The sequence below is a fragment of the Homo sapiens genome, chromosome 11, assembly GCF_000001405.40.
Source record: "Homo sapiens chromosome 11, GRCh38.p14 Primary Assembly".
NCBI lineage: Eukaryota > Metazoa > Chordata > Mammalia > Primates > Hominidae > Homo > Homo sapiens.
This window is the reverse complement of record NC_000011.10, coordinates 75,989,505-76,008,336: the sequence shown is the minus strand read 5'-3', so window position 1 is coordinate 76,008,336 and position 18,832 is coordinate 75,989,505. Positions and strand designations below refer to the sequence as shown.

The following is an 18,832-nucleotide window of genomic DNA, read 5'->3' as shown; positions in this document are numbered from 1 at the left end:
AAAAACCTAACAGCCTGACAGTTACCCCAGGAATATCTTAAGTAACACTAATACATGAAAATTATCAATCATATTTTTAAAGCAGTGCACATATATTTGCATGTGTATGTCAGAAATGGTGATAATGGGCAGGGTGCAGTGGCTCACACCTGATATGCGAGCACTTTGGGAGGCTGAGGTGGGTGGATCACGAGGTCAGGAGATCGAGACCATCCTGGCTAACGTGGTGAAACCCTGTCTCTCTAAAAATACAAAAAAATTAGCCAGGCATCGTGGTGGCGGGCGCCTGCAGTCCCAGCTACTCGGGAGGCTGAGGCAGGAGAATGGCGTGAACCCGGGAAGGGGAGCTTGCAGTGAGCCAAGATCGCATCACTGCACTCCAGCCTGGGTGACAGAGCGAAACTCCGTCTCAAAAAAAAAAAAGTGGTGATAATGGATAATGTGGTTAAGTAAAAAGATCCTAAAGAAACCAAAAATAATTTGGCAGTCTTTCAGATGATGAGTGCATCCCACCACCAAAGTGATATAAATGAAATAGTAGGACCTAAGGCCAAACAAGTCTAAATCTATGTTTTAAATAGACATTAGCTCCTGAATGAATCATGACAGAGCATATGATTAAGCCTAAAGCAATGAGTTTTTTCATTGAGAGGAAATGTCATACAGAAATCATCTTTTCAAAACGAAAAATATTTTCAGAAAATTTGAAACTTACCAAATCAATAGGGTAAATGTAGGAAAGCTCAGAGAGTAACTGCCTGCAACGAATTGTCAACTGAGCATTAGTCTTCAAGAAGAGTTCTCTAATGAGGAAAGAAAAAATACATTTATTAAAAAATATATGCTTGCATGCTTTGTAACATTTATTTCCACACAATTAATCCAAAGAAAGATTATACTGTCTGTAATAGGCCACAGAAACTCAGAAGTAGAAGCATAAATAATAGTTACCGTAAGTCTTGACCTATCTCCAAATAGTATCAATCAAGCTAACTATATACTGAGTGCTACTGTGTGTGATTAGTACCATGCTAAGAAATGTAAAGGGGGCTGGGAGTGGTGGCTCACTCCCATAATCCCAGCACTTTGGGAGGCCCAGGAGTTCAAGACCAGCCTGGGCAATATAGGGAGACCCCGTCTCTACAAAAATAAAAAAATTAGCCTGGCTTGGTGACGTATGCCTGCGGTCCCAGCTACTTGGGAGGCTGATGTAGAAGGACTGCTGGGGCCTGGGAGGTTGAAGCTGCAGTGAGCCCTGATCATGCCACTGCACTCCAGCCTAGGCACCAGAGCAAGACCTTGTCTTTGAAAAAAAAGAAATGTAAAGGGTACAAATAATCATTCACTAGGCATCTACAAATGGCCTTATTTATTCTAACAACTCTAGCAGGTTGATACTGTTATATCTATTTATAAACAAGGAAACAATATTTAGAGAGTCTGAGTAATGTGACCAAGATTTCACAGTCAATTTAATGAGGCCAATTTGATTTCAAGAAAGATCTGGATGGTATTTCCTCAAAAAGTATTCTATATTTCACTCACAATTACATATTATAATTACCTCAAAAACCAATATGTTGGACTGTAAGAAAAAAAGTAAAAACAACAAATAAAAAGCTATAGTATGAAATTACCCTTCTCTCTCTCTTTTTTTTTTTTTTTTTTTTTTTTTTGAGACGGGGTCTCACTTTAACACTCAGGCTGGAGTACAGTGGCACAATCTTGGCTCATTGCAGCCTCGACCTTCCCGGGCTCAGCTGATCCTCTCACCTCAGCTTCCTGAGAAGCTGGGACTACAGGTATGCCCAACCATGCTGAGCTAATTTTTGTATTTTTTGTAGAGACAGTGTTTCACCATGTTGCCCAGGCTGGTCTCAAACTCATAGGCTCAAGCTATCTGCCTGTTTCAGCCTCCCAAAGTGCTGGGATCACAGGCATGAGACACCTTGCCTGGCACCAGCTCTTTTCTTGCACTACTTAAGAAACATGATCAATACATAAAATACCTGTAAAGTAAGTTGCCTGATCAACTGTGTCAAGAATTTAAGAACAAAAGGAATTTAGGAGAAACTGTAGATCAAAGTATAACATGACATATATATGGTCTTTGCCCCCGGTTCTTATTACAGAGCACCTAAAAACCTTGGAATTTCCTGAGCGATAAGAGTGTCTTTTGCTATTCATTATGAGCCCCTTTTGATTACACCACAGTTTATGCTATGAGATGACTTAAGGCAGGGGCTCCTAGACAGCCTCAGGATGGAACTGGTCACTAGAAAAACCAAGAGATTAGAAGGTTGGACTTTCTTCCCCACCCACCAAACTCTGAGAAGAGGGCTGGAGATCTTGCACAACAAGATCTAATGAGCTTCCAGACTGGCAGTGTCTGGAGATTGATGTGCACAGACGGGGCATGGAAGCTCCATGCTCCCTCCCCCATACCTTGCCCTATGCATGCCTTCCATCTTGCTCATCGGTATCTTTTGTAATGTCCTTTATAATAAACCAGTAAGGGTTAAGTAAATGTTTCTCTGAGTTCTGTGAGCTGCTCTAGCAAATTAATCGAATCCAAGGAGTGGGTTATGGGAACCTCTATTTAAAGCAGGTCGATCAGAAGCACAGGTCACAACCTGGGGCTTGCCAAATGGCACCTGATGTGGTGAGGCAGTCTTGTGGGAATGAGTCCTTAATTCTGTGGGATCTGATACTATTTGCAGGAAGACAGAGTGAGAAATTCTAAGACATACAGTGAGGGTCTGCTGGAGAATCTAATGTTAAAAGTGTTGTATTGAGTGGTGTGTAACAGTACGAAAATCACTGGTTTTTTAGTTATCTAAAACAGCACTGAAGACAACGGGATCTAGTCCTGGCTTTGCTAGTGAGTTGGACAAACAGTAACTTACCAGAGCATTGACTTCCTATCTGCAAATTGAGAGAATTGGAATAGATAATCTCTATGGTTTTCTATAGGTCTAGCACTTTTTTTTTTTTAAGATGGCGTCTCGCTCTGTCGCCCAGACTGGAGTGCAGTGGCGCCATCTCGGCTCACTGCAAGCTCCACCGCCCGGGCTCACGCCATTCTCCTGCCTCAGCCTCCCGAGTAGCTGGGACTATAGGCATCCGCCACCACACCTGGCTAATTTTTTGTATTTTTAGTAGAGACAGGGTTTCACCGTGTTAGCCAGGATGGTCTTGATCTCCTGACTGCATGCTCTGCCTGCCTCGGCCTCCCAAAGTGCTGGGATTACAGGTGTGAGCCACCATGCCCGGCCAGTCTAGCATTTTTGAATCCCCAACTGCTAAAGTTTTTTGAAGAAAAGTGCATGATGGATGGATTTTCCAGGAAAAGCAAGTGAAGATGACCAAAAGAACAGAGGTACCAACGAATTAAGCATATGTTGGAAAAAATGAAGAGAAAAACTATTGGCATTTGTTAAACGAATGTTGGGAGAGCGACTAAAATTAACTACAGTTGCAAGGTGCCAATTTATTACAGGCTATTTGAAAGTTAAGCAAAAGAATCACCATATTAAGAAGATAAAAATGCCAGGCATGATGGCTCACACCTGTAATCCCAGCACTTTGGGAGGTTGAGGTGGAGCATCACTTGAGGCCAGAAGTTCGAGGCCATAGTGAGCTACGACTGCACCACTGCACTCCAGCCTGGGTGACAGAGTGAGACCCTGTCTATGAATGAATGAATGAATGAATGAATGAATGAATGAATGAAATGTTTCTCCACATTAAAAAAAGAAGATAAAAAATAAGGTAAAAATGGTATTTTAAGAGGAGAGGTCTGATCGTAGCATGGAGAACAATCTGGAAAGATGAAGAGACTGATGTTAGAGAGATAATCTAGTTGCTGAAGTAATCCAAATGAGCTAACAAGAAGCAGAAGTAAATCTGAAAAAATTATTGAAAAAAAACCTATAAGCTAAACCGCATGTAGAAGACAGAAGGAAGAAATTCAAACATTAAACCACGATGCTGTGGCCTGAGAAACTTGAATAGGGTTCATGTTTCTGATTATAACTACATACTAGGAGCTTTCATAACTGACCTCTGGCACAGTGCATGACACACAGTAGGTGCTTAATTAATGAATATGTGTTGAATAAACGAATGTGGTACTGAGGTATATGGGCTATAAATTAATACCAGCAGCTTTAAAGAATGCTACTTTTTCAAATCTATCCTCGCAGTAAACTCCACACTCACAGCAATTCTTCTCAGTGTGCATTTACCTTTTTGCAGTGCACTCCTTCCTCAGCTCATTTAGGGATTCCTTCTGGAGTTGAAGTTTGAGGTGCTCAGCTGAAAATGCACTTCCTAGAAAGAAAAGGAAGGAGATAATTCCATATGTAACATAGGATTACTCAATCACAACCAAAGAGGCCAAGCCAAATCCCTGACTGTGAGAGGGAAATAAAAAGAGTTAGGGAAAGTGGGTTGAGTACAGAGATTTTTTGGGGAGAGTAGCTAGAATAAACTTCCCTATTGGTCCAGTTTTCACATAAGTCCAGCCTCTGGCAGAAGCCTAAGAGTATACGCCTAAGACTCTCTGCCTATAGATATTTCTCAATTAATGACTGAGAAAGATGGTCAGCAATTGATAAGATATCAAAATTCAGACTTCACTTTAAAAAAATGAGTGATTAATTCCTTTCCAACCAAAAATGCTACGGAATAACATTACTGAAAGTATATTTTAAAAAAGAGTAAAAAAGTACCTGTATTTTGACTACTAAAATATAGTTCATAAATAAAGGAGTTTTTATGAACCGTCATCTTCCTCATAAATATCATTATTTTAGGCCAGGTGCGGTGGCTCATGCCTGTAATCCCAGCACTTTGGGAGGCCAAGGCTGGCAGATCACTTGAGGTCAGGAGTTCGAGACCAGCCTGGCTAACATGGTGAAACCCCGTCTCTACTAAAAATACAAAAATTAGCTGGAAATCGCTTGAACCTGGGAGGTGGAGGTTGCAGTGAGCCAAGATCATGACACTGCACTCCAGCCTGGGCAAGAGAACGAGACTCTGTCTCCAAAAAAAAAAAAAAAAAAAAAAAAAAAAAAATCAGTATTTTCGTGAAAATCATAGTGTATAGGAAATGTGTATTCTGATTTTTCAACTATTTTTACATGACGACAGATAGTCTGAGTTATGGCTGTACAAAATTTAACTCCATGAATGTGAATTACAGGAATATTTCACATTTTAAATGATACCCTCATACCTCAATTCTTTTTTTCTTTTTTTTTAGACAGGGTTTCTGTCACCCAAGCTGGAATACAGTGGCATGATGACAGCTAAATGTAGCCTCAACTTCCCCAAGCTGAGGTGATCCTCCTGCCTCAGCCTCCTAAGTATCTGGGACAACAGACACATGTCACAATGCCCAACTAATTTTTGTATTTTTTTGTAAAGATAGGGTTTCACCATGTTGTCCAGGCTGATCTTGAACTCCTGAGCTCAAGCCATCCGCCTGCCGTGGCCTCCCAAAGAGCTAGGACTACAGGTGTGAGCTACAGTGCCCGGCCTTCCCAACATATTTAAGCACCCTTCTCTTCTCTTTCAACATACTATGAAGACCAGTAAGTTGGGAACTCTGACCCCAACAGAATTTAACCAAGGAACACAACTTAACTTTTTAGCCCACAATATAACTCCTTCCCAAATCTTCACCTTAGTGATTTTTTAAGACATTTAGGTTGACACCCTCTATCCCCACATACTTCATCAGAAAGTATATGAATTCTTCTACCACTAGAGAAACGTGCAGTATCATTCTTCATCCCAGATAATTTAGGCTGCCTCAACTCAATGTTAACAAGACCACAAATAGGGACCAAAGACAGATCTGGTCTTCAAAACACAAATGAGTGTCCCCTTCCTCAGTTCAGAAGACTCTAGAATGTGTTATTACATGACCTCCCCTCAAGAAAACTCCTTGCAATGTGGTAGAAAGGAAATTAAAAAAAATATCCCAATCAGCTAACAAAATGTAACATACCACATTCATTTCTCTATGAAAGGTAATACAGCTTATTGGTTCCATAGGAGTGGGCTCTGGAATAAAACTGAAGCAGTTTGGGTTATTTAGGCTCAGATAGAGAAGAACTAAGTATTTGAAGATACTCCAGAAAACTCAACCTAAATTCTAAAAGTCACTTCAAAATAAGTAATAATACTGATGCAATGGTATACTCAAGCTCTACAGGGGTTGTTCAGGTTTTATATTACCAACCTGAATACTACATGACTGATGTTGTGTCCTTCTAAGGGTATCACATCTGGAAGCAATGATGTCCATGTTTAAGAGCATGCATACGTCCTGCTTCTCATATAAATTTCTCCCTAGAATGAGCTTGATTAATGGTTTCTGTTTAAATCAATCTTTACTAAACATGCTGAAAAATAATATTCCAACTTCAGTAATTCCTCCATAATCATCAGTCAGCACTCAGCATTCTTCTCTAAGCAGAAGCCCCCCCATCTTCTCTATTAACTATCCATTATCAGTAAAGAATCATTAACTCCTTTTTATTTTTCAATGATTTATAACTCATTACTGTACATAATTATTTGGTGCTTAAGTGATCCCAGATTCAACCAGTGGGACTCTCTTCAACCTGCCTCTAAAGTCCTTGTGAGATGCTGCCATCATGTTTTTTAAAATACTACATTATAATCTTAATTTCTGTAGGATCTGTAGTGATGTCCCCTCTCATTCCTGATATTGGTAATTCTTATTTTCTCTCTTTTTACTTAGTTAATATGGCTACAGGTTTATCAATTTTAGTGATCTTTTCAAGGAACTACCTTTTGGTTTCATTGATATCCTCTACTCTTTCAGTTTCCAGTTTCACTGATTAGTGGCCTTTATTATTTCCTTCCTTCGATTTGACTTGGGTTTAGTTAATTTGCTCCTCTTTTCTAATTTGTTAAGGTACAAGCTTAGATTATTGACTGGAGACCTTCTTTTCTAATATTGGCATGAAATGCTATAAATTTACCTCAAACTTCAAATGTATTTTCATTTTCATTCATTTCAAAATACTTTCCAATTTTCTTGTGATTTCTTCTTTGACCCGTGGTTTATGATATATATATTGTGTAATTGTGGAATATTTGGAATTTTCCAGACATTTTTCTGTTAGTAACTTCCAGTTTACTCTGTTTTGGTGAGAAAACATACTTTGTATGATTTTAATTATTTTGTATTTGTTTGTCTTATGGTACCAAATGTGGTCTAACTGAATGTTCCATGTATACTTGAAAGAAATGCAGATTCTGCTAGTGTTCAGTGGAGTGGTATGCTATCAATTAGGTGAAGAAAATTGATAGTAATGTCTTTTAACTGATTTTCTCTCTACTTGTCTTTATCACTGAGGATGAGTGTTGTGGTTTCTAACTATAATTGTGCATTTGCTTATTTCTCCTTTCAGTTCTATCTATTTTTGCTTTATCTGTATTAAAATAATATTGCTATGTTCACACATATTTAGAATTGTTACGTCTTTTGGTGAACTGACCTCTTCACCAAAATGTAATATCCCTCTTTATTCCAGGTAGTAATCCTTGTTTTGAAGTCTACTTTGCCAGATATTAATATAGACACTACAGTTTTCTTTTGACTGTTATTTGCATGGTACATCTTTTTCCATTCTTTAACTTTTAATCTATCTAACTTTTTTCTTTTTTTCCTTTTTTTTTTAAGAAACAGGGTCTCACTCTGTTGCCCAGGCTATGCTGCAGTGTGCAATGGTGTAATCTCAGCTTACTGCAGCCTCCAACTCCTCAACTCAAGCAATCCTCCTGTCTCAGCCTCCCAAGTAGCTAGGACTACAGGTGCACTCCATCATGCCTGGTGAATTTTTAAGTTTTTTTGTGTGTGTTGATGGAGTCTCACCATGTTGCCCAGGCTGGTCTCGAACTCCTGGCTTCAAGCAATCCTCCTGCTTTGGCCTCCCAAAGTGCTAGGACTACACATGTGAGCCACCACACCTGGGAATATATCTACCTTTATATTCAAAGTGGATTTCTTGTAGATAGTATTTATTTGGGTCTTGTTTTTTGTTTTGTTGTAAATCAAATCTGGACAATCCCTTTTGTAACTAGAATATTCAGACTACTTACACCTAATATAAACATTGTTATGATTAAAATCTACCATTTTGCTAGCTGTTTTCAGTATGTTCCATTTCTTCTTTGTTCCTTTCTCTCTCTTTTTAAATGCTATTGGATTGAGTATTTTTCAGTATTTCATTTTTCTTCACTATTGGCTTATTTTTTAAGCTCTTTAAAAATGTTTATTGGTTGCCCAGGAGTTCACAAAATGTATCTTTAATTAAGCATAGTCTACCTTCAAAAACAAGTTGAGCATACCTTATCCGAAATGCTTGGGATGGGAAGTGTTTTAGATTTAATTTTTTTTCAGATTTTGGAATATTTGCATTATACATACTGGTTCAACAACCTAAACCCTAAAATCTGAAATCTGAAATGCTCCAAAGAGCATTTCCTTTGAGCATCATGTTGGCACCCAAAACGTTTTAAATTTTGGAATATTTTGGCTTTCAGATTTTCTGATTAGAAATATTCAGCTTGTAATATTATACCACTTCATGTAGAGCATAAAAAAACTAAAAATATGGCTGGGCACGGTGGCTCACACCTGTAATCCCAGCACTTTGGGAGGCCAAGGCGGGCAGATCACAAGGTCAGGAGTTCGAGACCAGCCTGACCAACATAGTGAAACCCCGTCTCTACTAAAAATACAAAAATTAGCCGGGTGTGGTGGTGTGCGCCTGTAATCCCAGCTACTCGGGAGGCTGAGGCAGGAATCACTTGAACCCAGGAGGTGGAGGTTGCAGTAAGCCGAGATTGCACCACTGCACTCCAGCCTGGGTGACAGAGTGAGACTCTGTCTCAAAAAACAAACAAATAAACAAACAAAAAAACAACTGAAAAAAGTATACTTTCAATTCTTCCTTTTCCCAGTTTTTAAATTCTTCATACATTTTACTTTATGTATGCTATAAGCCCACAAACACCATTATTTTTGCCTTAGAAAGTTGACTTTTTTTTTTTTTTTCTCTGAGGCAGAGTCTTGCCCGGTCACCCAGGCTGGAGTGTAGTGGTGCTATCTCAGCTCACTGCAACCTCTGCCTCCTGGGTTCAAGCAATTCTCCTGCCTCAGCCTCCCCAGTAGCTGGGATTACAGGCACCCGCCACCATGTCTGGCTAATTTTTGTATTTTTAGTAGAAATGGGGTTTCACCATGTTGGCCAGGCTGGTCTTGAACTCCTGACCTCAGGTGATCCACCTGAAAACACACATATTCCCTTCCTCCCTCCTTCTTGCTCCACCACACCCCAGACCATCATATTCAAACTGCTGAAGACAAGAAATGAAGAGAAAATGTCCAAGGCAGCCATAGAAAAAAGACACATTACCTGCAGAAGAACAAAGATTTCCTAACCTGTCCTCAATCTTTCTTGTGAATATCCAAAAGAGGTCTATGCAGAAGAAACTGCAAGCTAGTAAAAACTGCCTTATATCTGCCGTAGTCACATACTAGTCTACACTTGGTCATTAACGATTTGTTAAAAGCTTTAGCTCAATTATTTCACCTTATTACACAGCAGCCCCCAACTTCTTCCCATGCTCTACCATTAGTAATCAGTGCTCACATCCTACCTCTCCTTGGAGGTTGTCTGTCTTTCCTTACACTCAAGCTACTTCGTTGCCTTGAGATCCTAGTTTTCTGATGGATTTAAGAAAAGTTATGACTTTGTATATTATCCAGTGTTTTTTTTTCTTTATTCTCAGGGTAGAAGTGAAACTCCTTTCACCTACATCTTAGGCAGAGGCTGGAAGGAAAATCTGAGGATATTAATTTGATTTTTTAAAAGTTCTCCATTCTTTGTATTGTCTGTTTATTTTGGGTCAGCTATTCTGTTTATTCAACTAGGTCTCATTCATGCTGTTTTCCTCAAATATCTGATGATCCTTAGTGCTCCTTTCAAACCCATGAATAAGTGATTAGACTGATTAGTATAGACAACTGGCATAGGTTTCCTCTGGAGCTATGAGATTTATTTCCATAAAAAGCCTCACCCCTTAGTGCCATTAGTATAAGTGAGCTGGTCCTGTTGACAACTAGGCTTTCCTTCTGGGTATATATGCTGGGAGAAGGTATACTTTTACTTCAAATTACTGCAACTGTCAAGGGAGCTTCACACTGGGATTTTATTTGGGGTAGGTATTTCACTCTTGAGTAGAGTTGTCTTTCATGTTTTCCTCTGGGTTGGCGATAAAAGTCCAGTCACTTTAAGTTCTACTGCAACTTTCTACCATGTCAAACACTTATACCGTGGGACCTAAGCAGGTCAGGAATCCATTATGTTTAGAAAGCAGCTACAGCAAATGTTATAGAAAGCTGCTCCAAATGCACACAAGAAGGAGAATGGGCCAACAGGCTCAATTACCCTGATTATTGCTCTACTTAATTCTTGATCTCAATACTGGCAAATTCCAAGCTTGAAGCCTCTGATGGTTCTATCAGGAACCCTACCTGCAGCCGTTTCTATTTGTGTTCTAGGCTGCAGTTTTTCTCTACTTTAGTTTATTCATCAAAACAGTCCTATCTACTTTGTATCTTGGAGAACTGTGCCAAAACCTTTGCTATCCCAATGACATCCTCTTTTGTTTCTACCATTACCATGGTTTCATTCTTTATACATGTATATTTATTATCACATCAATAGGTCATTGGGAGAGAGGGAACAAAAATGCCGGAGCTTGGTTTACCATCTTCCAAAACTGCTTTGACCCTGTCCAGGCATATATCAATGTTCTACTCTGTTAAATCAGATAGCCTCTCTGTTCAGCAAGAACACAAGTCAGGCAATATAATTTTAACAGCAAAATGTCAATGTTGGCTCCTATAAATATAATAGCTAAAGACTATGAATCTTGCTTCCAGCAACAAAACAAAACACAGACTCTTGGTTCTCTCTCACCAGAGTTTGGTCTGAGACTGGCCAATGGCCAGCTCCTGTCAAAATTACAGTTAAAACCAATAAATTGTCATTCTTCTGGGTTTTCCACATTAAGTCAGATGACCAAAAAGCAATATACTTGGAGTACTTTAGCTTCCTTCCCTGCAGAAATGCCTTTTCTATACTATGATTTATGATGCTGCCTTTCTCAAGGGTTAACAGATATTTCTTGCTGTAACTTTTGCAAAATTACAACTGACTTTATTTCATTATGATATTTAATATATTGCACATATGAAACTAAATTATTCTCTGCATTTAGTGCTAAGAGAGTATTTTTATTTCTCCCCTTAAAGAACTGATAGGCTTCCTTATTAACAGGCAATGTAAAACAAACGATATCTGTCATACCTCTACACAATTGGCTTGACAGCTGAGGTCAGAGCTAATATTAGTTCTTAAGAACAATAAGCAGATTCTATGGAAGGCAGTGAACTGTATTTAGAAAGCCCATGGACTTATGAATCAGAAAGATCTAGGTTGAAATCCTACCTATGCTACTTTCAAGACTCTAGACAAGTTTCAACTTCTCTGAACTTCATGTTCCTCATCTGTAAAATGGGGAGAATTTCATTCTTAACATTTGCATTATTGTGCCTGCCCCCAGTAAGCTTTACTGGAATTGCTCACAATTCCCTAAGCTACCTCCATGCCTCTGTATAAACTGCTCCCTTTACCTGGAAGGTCTCACCTTCTCCCCCTAGTTAGAACAATACTATATATTCTTCTAGGCTCAGTGTGTCACCTCCTGTACCTGTTGTTCTGATTATCATGTTTATATTCTGTGTTCCTACAGTATCCTCTATATACTTCGGTTACATATTTATCACACCTGCCATGTTGACTCTAATCGCAATGTCTGGTTCTTTGAAAGTGTTCCACAAATTATGAATAAATGAATTGACAAAGGCATATATGCAGAAAAATAAAAATCAATGCTCCTTCTACTTCCTTTACAAGTCATATGCTCTCTTTTTACTTCTATCTTCAACCACCTAAATGTAAATGTATTTTTTTTTTTTGTAAATGTTACTTCCAGTGCATTTTGAGAGTAAGTGGAGAAAAAATTATGACAAACCAATATACAATTGTGTCAGGTGGCATATTTCTACACATCTATACCTCCCATGGGAAACAGAGATTAAAATATGACAGTTTGCCATTCCTACAAACAAATAAGACATTACTGGAATAAATTACTATACTTACATGGAAACTGAAATAAAATCAGAAGTTTGCTCAGGACTCATATTTACCTACCTCTTCCCCCAAAATACCCCTGCCACAAGTTGTCTGGCTTTTATTGCTAATAGCATAAATCCTAGGGAGAATCTGTCCTCAGGTCCAGACTTTTTTTTGAAAGTTAGATATTAATAATTTTGAAGATGCCTATTTAAGAATTTCTGTCAGATGGTTATTTAAAAAATCAGAACACATATAAACTAATAAAATTTAAATTTTGCCATCATTTCAAATAAATATATTTTGAGTTTAAAAACTGAGAAGTAACTTTTCATAAGTAACTGTATGACCTAAGAAAAGGAAAAAATTGTTATGCAAGACTTAATAATGTATTTACAACTTCAAATAGAAACCTATGAGCTTTTGATAGAAATTAAAGTATCAATTTAAATATACTGTGTGATTCTTCTTTTATCTGAGATGCAGACCAAAAGGACACAGTAATTTACTAACCAAGCAGAAGCTAATTAAATAGAACAAACTACATATGTAGGTCACCTTAATTACTCTTTTTTTTTTTTTTTCAAAATGACAATAAGAAACTATTACAGTTGATGGGAACTTCACATAAAATATTTATTTTGGCAACAACTTTTTATTCACTGAAATTACCAAGGGTAATTTATTTCCCCAAATCTGAGCAATGAAATCTGACATATCTGACCTCTCCTATTCACTGCCACCAAAATAATGTGTTTGTTTTTGCTCTTAATTGCCAAAGTAAAATAGGAGAAAAGTATGGCTAGTTACAGAATTCTAATAGGTCATTCCCACCAAATGGCTTTTCAGTATTAAACAGGCAACAATCATAGACACACTTGGGTCAAAGATTAAAAAAAAAAAAAACTTTTATAAAATGCTGGAAAATATATCATCAGCATTAAACTTATAATAATAACAATAATAAAGAGAGGCATTAAAAAAGGTGAACAGATCACCATCATTTCCACCAGTCCTACCTTTCTGAGATAACCAAAATCTTAATAGAGCTGAAAGAAATCTTGACTGTATAATTCAGAATTTTTTGTTTTGTTTTGTTTATGCAGAGGAAATAAGCTCAAAAAGTTGAAAGACCTGTCTAAGGACAAAGTTGGAAAATGGCAGACCCAAATCAAAGCAATCTTTGGAGAAAATTCACTTCAGCCATACTATAATAAAAAGGAACAAAGCAAAACAAAGTTCTCTAGCTAACACCTCACAGGCCAAATAGAAAAACAGCAAACTGTGAGTTGACCCGGACACATACTAGAGAAAGCAGTAATGACGTTTCGTTTAGTGGAAACAAGACAGGCTTTGGAGTAAGAGAAACCAATGTTTGAATTTGGATCTGTCACTTAATTGGGACCTCAGGGAAGTGTCTCTGAGCCCTAATTTTCCTCATTTGGGAAAAGAAGGTAAAAAAGATATCTTAAGACTATTTTAAGAATTAATAATATACCAAAACTAAAATATCTGGCATGTTACAGGATTTCAATAAAAGTTATCTACTTCATGTGATTTATGTGGGATTCAAACGAATGTTTTGCAAAGTTTTAGGTAGTATGGAATACTGAGAAAAGCACAGAATTTAGAGTTGAAATCTGTGCTGAATTTGGGTCCACATCTCAACTTTGCTGCTAATTGTCTGTGTGTTCCTGGCCAAGTCATTTAACTTCCCAGTACCTCACATATACAATGAGGGTAACATCTGCCCTACTTAGCTTTCAGAGATGCTTTAAGGATCAAACATAAGAACTTCTGTATAAGCACTTTTTAACTGTATGGTTATCCTTATTATCAAGAAAGTAATTGTATTAAAAAGTAGCTTCTTCCCACAAAGTTTGGAGAACTCTCCTTTTATAAAGTTAATACCACTTCCCAGGCACCACTGAAGTATTCTTGGGTTTTTATCAACATTTGTTTATAAGTGATATGGTATGGACGTGTGCTCCTCCAAATCTTGTGTGAAATGTGATCCTCAATGTTGGAGGGGAGGAATAATGGGAAGTACTGGAACATGGGGATGGATCCCTCACAAATGGCTTAATGCCATCCCCTTGGTGATAGTGAGTTCTTGCTTTGGTAGTTCACAGGAGACCTGGCTGTCTAAAAGAGTATGGCAATTCTCCCCACCCCCCTCACTTCCACTTTCACCATGTGATACGCCTGTACTGGCTTCACCTTCCACCATGACCGAAAGCTTCCTGAGGCTCTCACCTGGAGCAGATGTTGGCATCATGCTTCCTGTACAGCCTGCAGAACCGTAAGCCAATTAAACTTCTTTTCTATATAAATTACCCAGCATCAGGTATTTCATTATAGTGATGCAAAAATGGACTAATACAATAAGAAACCTACATTCTACTGAACACACTTCCATAAAACCAACATTTCATACCATTTTTTGAGCTAAGTTTCCAGCAAACTAATTTTGATAGAGTGTTGCTTTTCAAAGATTTGGGGGTTGTGTCAGGACAAAAGACCCGGTAAAGCAACACAGAATTCATTAATGGGAAGATTACTTGGCTTGAGTTACTGAGGGGAAATCTGGTTTTTATTAAACATCCTAAGTTAAACTACTAATACCTTCCAGAAATGAAAATATATACACTAATAAACATTAATACTGAAAAGATCAGCTCATGACCCAGCTGGAAGTTGCCATAGACCACAAGTTGAGAACCACTGCCTTTGAGGGATAGGAAGGGAAAACGTATGAGTGTGAAGTAATGAGGCCCTTTGGAGTTATGTGACCACTCAGCAAGTCAGCAGCGTGGATAAAAATTGTCTTTTTGGCACTTTCCAATAAATCATCCTGCTGCAATGGATTTTCATGAACAAAAATATAAGCACCTGGTTTCTTCCAAATGTTTACACAAATTAATTCCTATGTCAGTATTATTAGCAGCTATCCTTACTGAACAGATGTGTAAAAAGATGCAGACAGTAAATAATTCCTTTGTGGTCATTCAGAATAATCAGCAGCAAAGTCACAATTAAATATGATATAGTACTGACTTTATATCCTAACTGAGCTCCTGGACTCAGAACCAAGTACCTAGATAAGCACCAAGTGCCAGTCACAATATGTAAGAACGCACTAGTAATATTCATATCAGCAAATCATTTCACTACTCCCTAGCAAACAAACTAAATCAAAGCTGCAAATGCAAGAGAAAAATACCTTTTTCACCTTCGTTGAGCAAATACCAGTGACTATGGTGCTTTCAAAATATTTTAACTTGGCTCAAGATTCATTAAATAGTACCTTCATGTAAATGTACAAGAATAATGTTCAACACAAGCATATAATAGTATATGTTTAGAATAGAATATTGAAGAACAAGTACGTATCTGGTTACCTAGCACAGCCACTATGAAGAACACAGGTGCCCAAAAAGTAGACCAGGTTATGCTAGTAAATAAATGTGGTTATCTGTATCCAGCCATCCCCCTCTTTCCCACTCCCCAGTGCCGATCACCACAGCCCACAAACATTCGCAATGGGAATAAGAGTGAAGCCAACAGCAGCACTCTTTCTCCTACTTATGTTAGGAACCAAAGTATCAACATTAGATCCTAACCTTCTAAGGATTCTAATAGTCCAGGGGAATACAAAGTAATTCTCATCTCAAAAACATATATAAAAGTGAGAAAATGGCACTTCAAGTACAAACTCAGTGTTAAAAATCAACAATTGTGACCCTCCATGACAAATACATATTTAACTTGAAGATTACCATTCTTTCTCTCCATGATAAAATAGAGATTCAAGAATGTGCAACTGACTTGGCTGTCAGAATTAAAATACTAGAAGAGATATCTATAAAATTCTATAATCTCCCTTCGCAGCACAGTTAGGCAGCAGTAACTCTGAACACAGGCTCTGCCATAACTTGCTATGCATGTGGCTTTGGGCACATAACTTGTTATGTGATTTTGGACAAATCATCCTCATCTGCAAACTGGGTACTAATATGTAGTATCTTTATTATTAGAAGGATAATAATAGTATCTTTAATGTATAGGACTATTAGGACAAAATTAGATAAAGAATAGAAAACATGACATTTCCTGGCACTAATATTCTATATATAAGAGCAATTAATACCGGCTTGTGTTCTATAAAATATAAATACAAGCTCATATTCTCTAAATATGAGCAATTATTATTAAACCTCAGTCTTGTAAATGGTATAGATATCACTGTTTAGATGTTCATTTGCTTATAATCTAAGGATAGACATCCTGGGACCTCTTTCTATCCTAATAGGCAAATATACAACCAGAAACAGTTAAAGAACTATATCTCCCTATCTTTTTACCATATTCTAGAATAATATATACCCCTTGGTTTTATATATCATGCTAGTTATAAAAATGTAGTATTATTCAGTGATTGACAGTTTTGGAATCAGTAGATTTTAATCTCAACATCACCTCTCATTAGCTACATGAATTTAAGTAAGTTACTTAATCTCTCTGACCCTGACATAGTTTCCTCAGCTATAAAAGGTAAATAATAATAGCATCTACCTCATAAAGTTATTGTAGTGATTAAACAATATTACATATTTATAGTAATAAGCACTGTACTGGATACATTATTGCTACTATTATTACTCTTACTAGAAAAGGTCAAAAGTCCCTAAACCCTTTACAACCTTATAGTGTTTTCATTTTGAAAGTTAATGATCTTAAAAAAGGTAAGATATGCAGAAATATATGCCACAGATAGCAGGCAATGTAAGTACAGTAAAAGTTGATGGTACTTCCAAAGCACTGTAAGAAATGTGTCTTTTCACAGAAGATGAAATCTTTTGAAGCAGGCCTTGTATGTACAAAACAACTGTCTATTTATTTGGGGCCATTCTAACAAAGACAAATGGACTTTATCATAATGCTTCATGATTTTAAATGGCATTATTCCTTTTGACTCTCATTTATAAATATGCAAGTTGTATTGGAATGCAGATACTTATCACTGCCAAACAACATACACTTTTTCTGCAGTCTTTCTCATAAGAGTATCAGTCTTCCCATATGAATGATAAACTAGAAGTTAGAGAAGTCTTTCTTTAGCAATGATACCCATGACATGACACCAATAAGCATAAGTACGATGCTTTCATTCAACAAATATTTATTCTATGTGTACTATATCCCAGGTACTATACCATGCCTAAAAGATATGAGTATTTAATGTAGTCCTTGAACAGTGCCTGCCCTCAGAATCTGTCTAGAGAAGGAGATAGACTAATAATCAAAGTGCTATCATGGAAAAATATAGGGTGCTATGGAAACACACAGTAGTACATTTAACCTAGGGGTGGGAGGAGAAAGAGAAGGGAGCCAGTGATGGTTTCCTGGTGAAAACAACATTTAGGCAAAGGCCTGTATGCAGGTAAGATAGAACAAAGCATACTTAAGTAACTAAAAGAGTTCTGTGTGGTTGAAGCATTCAGATTGAGGTGAGCCATTGGAGGCCTTTGTAAGTCATCTTGGGCTGAGACTTTTATCTTAAAGGTACAGAAACCCACGAGAGTATGACATAGGAATAAAACAGATGGTGTTTTGCTCCTATTTTTATGAGACCATTTCATCTTCATAACTCATCTGATCATCATATTATACATATTCTTGCTACACAAAATGTGGTTCACAGACCAGAAACATCAGCAGAACTTGGAAGCCTGTTAAAACTCAGTGAGACACAGTTTTAAGTATTACTATTAACCCCATTGTAGAGATAACACTAAGTTATTGGACAAGGTTACACAGCTGGTAAACAATGAAGTAGGCTTGTGAAACAAGGCATTCTGAATCAAAGCCTGTTCCTTTAGAAACTTATTTTCTAAAATTACTGAAATGAAGAAAAATCACATTTATAAAATTATTCTTTGTAATGTAAACTATACTTCATATAGGTCAAAACTTTAAAACCTGCTAAAAATGACTTACTTTATTCACATTCCAAATACACTCTTGCCACAGTAGGTTTTCTGTTTCCTATTATATCTCATTTATCCACCAATGTCAACTATGTGAAATACACCAAAAACTAAACAGGAAACCACAAAAGGATGCAACAAATAAAATAAGGTTAAATAATTCATGTACTACATTTAATGGTACATTACCTATATGAAAGCCCCTCAAAGATTCATGCTGTGTAATACTCACTGAGGGCCTCAGTGTTGGGCACTGAGAAGGATACCATAAAAGTGCAAAGTCCCTGCCCTGAAAGGGCTTACCAAATAAGTGCGAAGATAAGACGACATCAAAACACTATGGGGACACAGAAGAAGGAGCAGGAAACTTTCATTTGAGGGAGAAAAAAGCCTCAAGGAGAGGTAGTATTTGAGCATGTCTTTGAAGAACCAAAAGAACTAAACCAAGGAGAGATGAGTAAAGTGTGTTCTCATAAAAGCAAGTATAGAGGTAAAAAAGACTTCTATTTCTGACTGATGGAATAACATACATCAGATTTTCCTCCCACTGTAAACAACTAGAAAGTCATACAAAATTATATGTAACAACAG

The 18,832-nt window shown here is 37.4% G+C and overlaps 1 protein-coding gene across 10 annotated transcripts in view; it reads right to left on the bottom strand.

The window, feature by feature from the left end:
• The window catches only part of UVRAG (UV radiation resistance associated), a 329,023-nt gene that overhangs the window by 135,896 nt on the left and 174,295 nt on the right, over nt 1-18,832 (bottom strand). For all 10 annotated transcript variants that reach the window (NR_170160.1, NR_170161.1, NM_001386671.1 and 7 more), the window contains 2 exons: nt 4,248-4,332; nt 716-803 (listed from right to left, as the gene is read on the bottom strand). Coding sequence is in view for 7 of the 10 variants with exons in the window: in NM_001386671.1 (NP_001373600.1) it covers nt 716-803; nt 4,248-4,332 (173 nt within the window). In the remaining 3 variants the exon portion in view is untranslated. The remainder of the gene's footprint in view (nt 1-715; nt 804-4,247; nt 4,333-18,832) is intronic.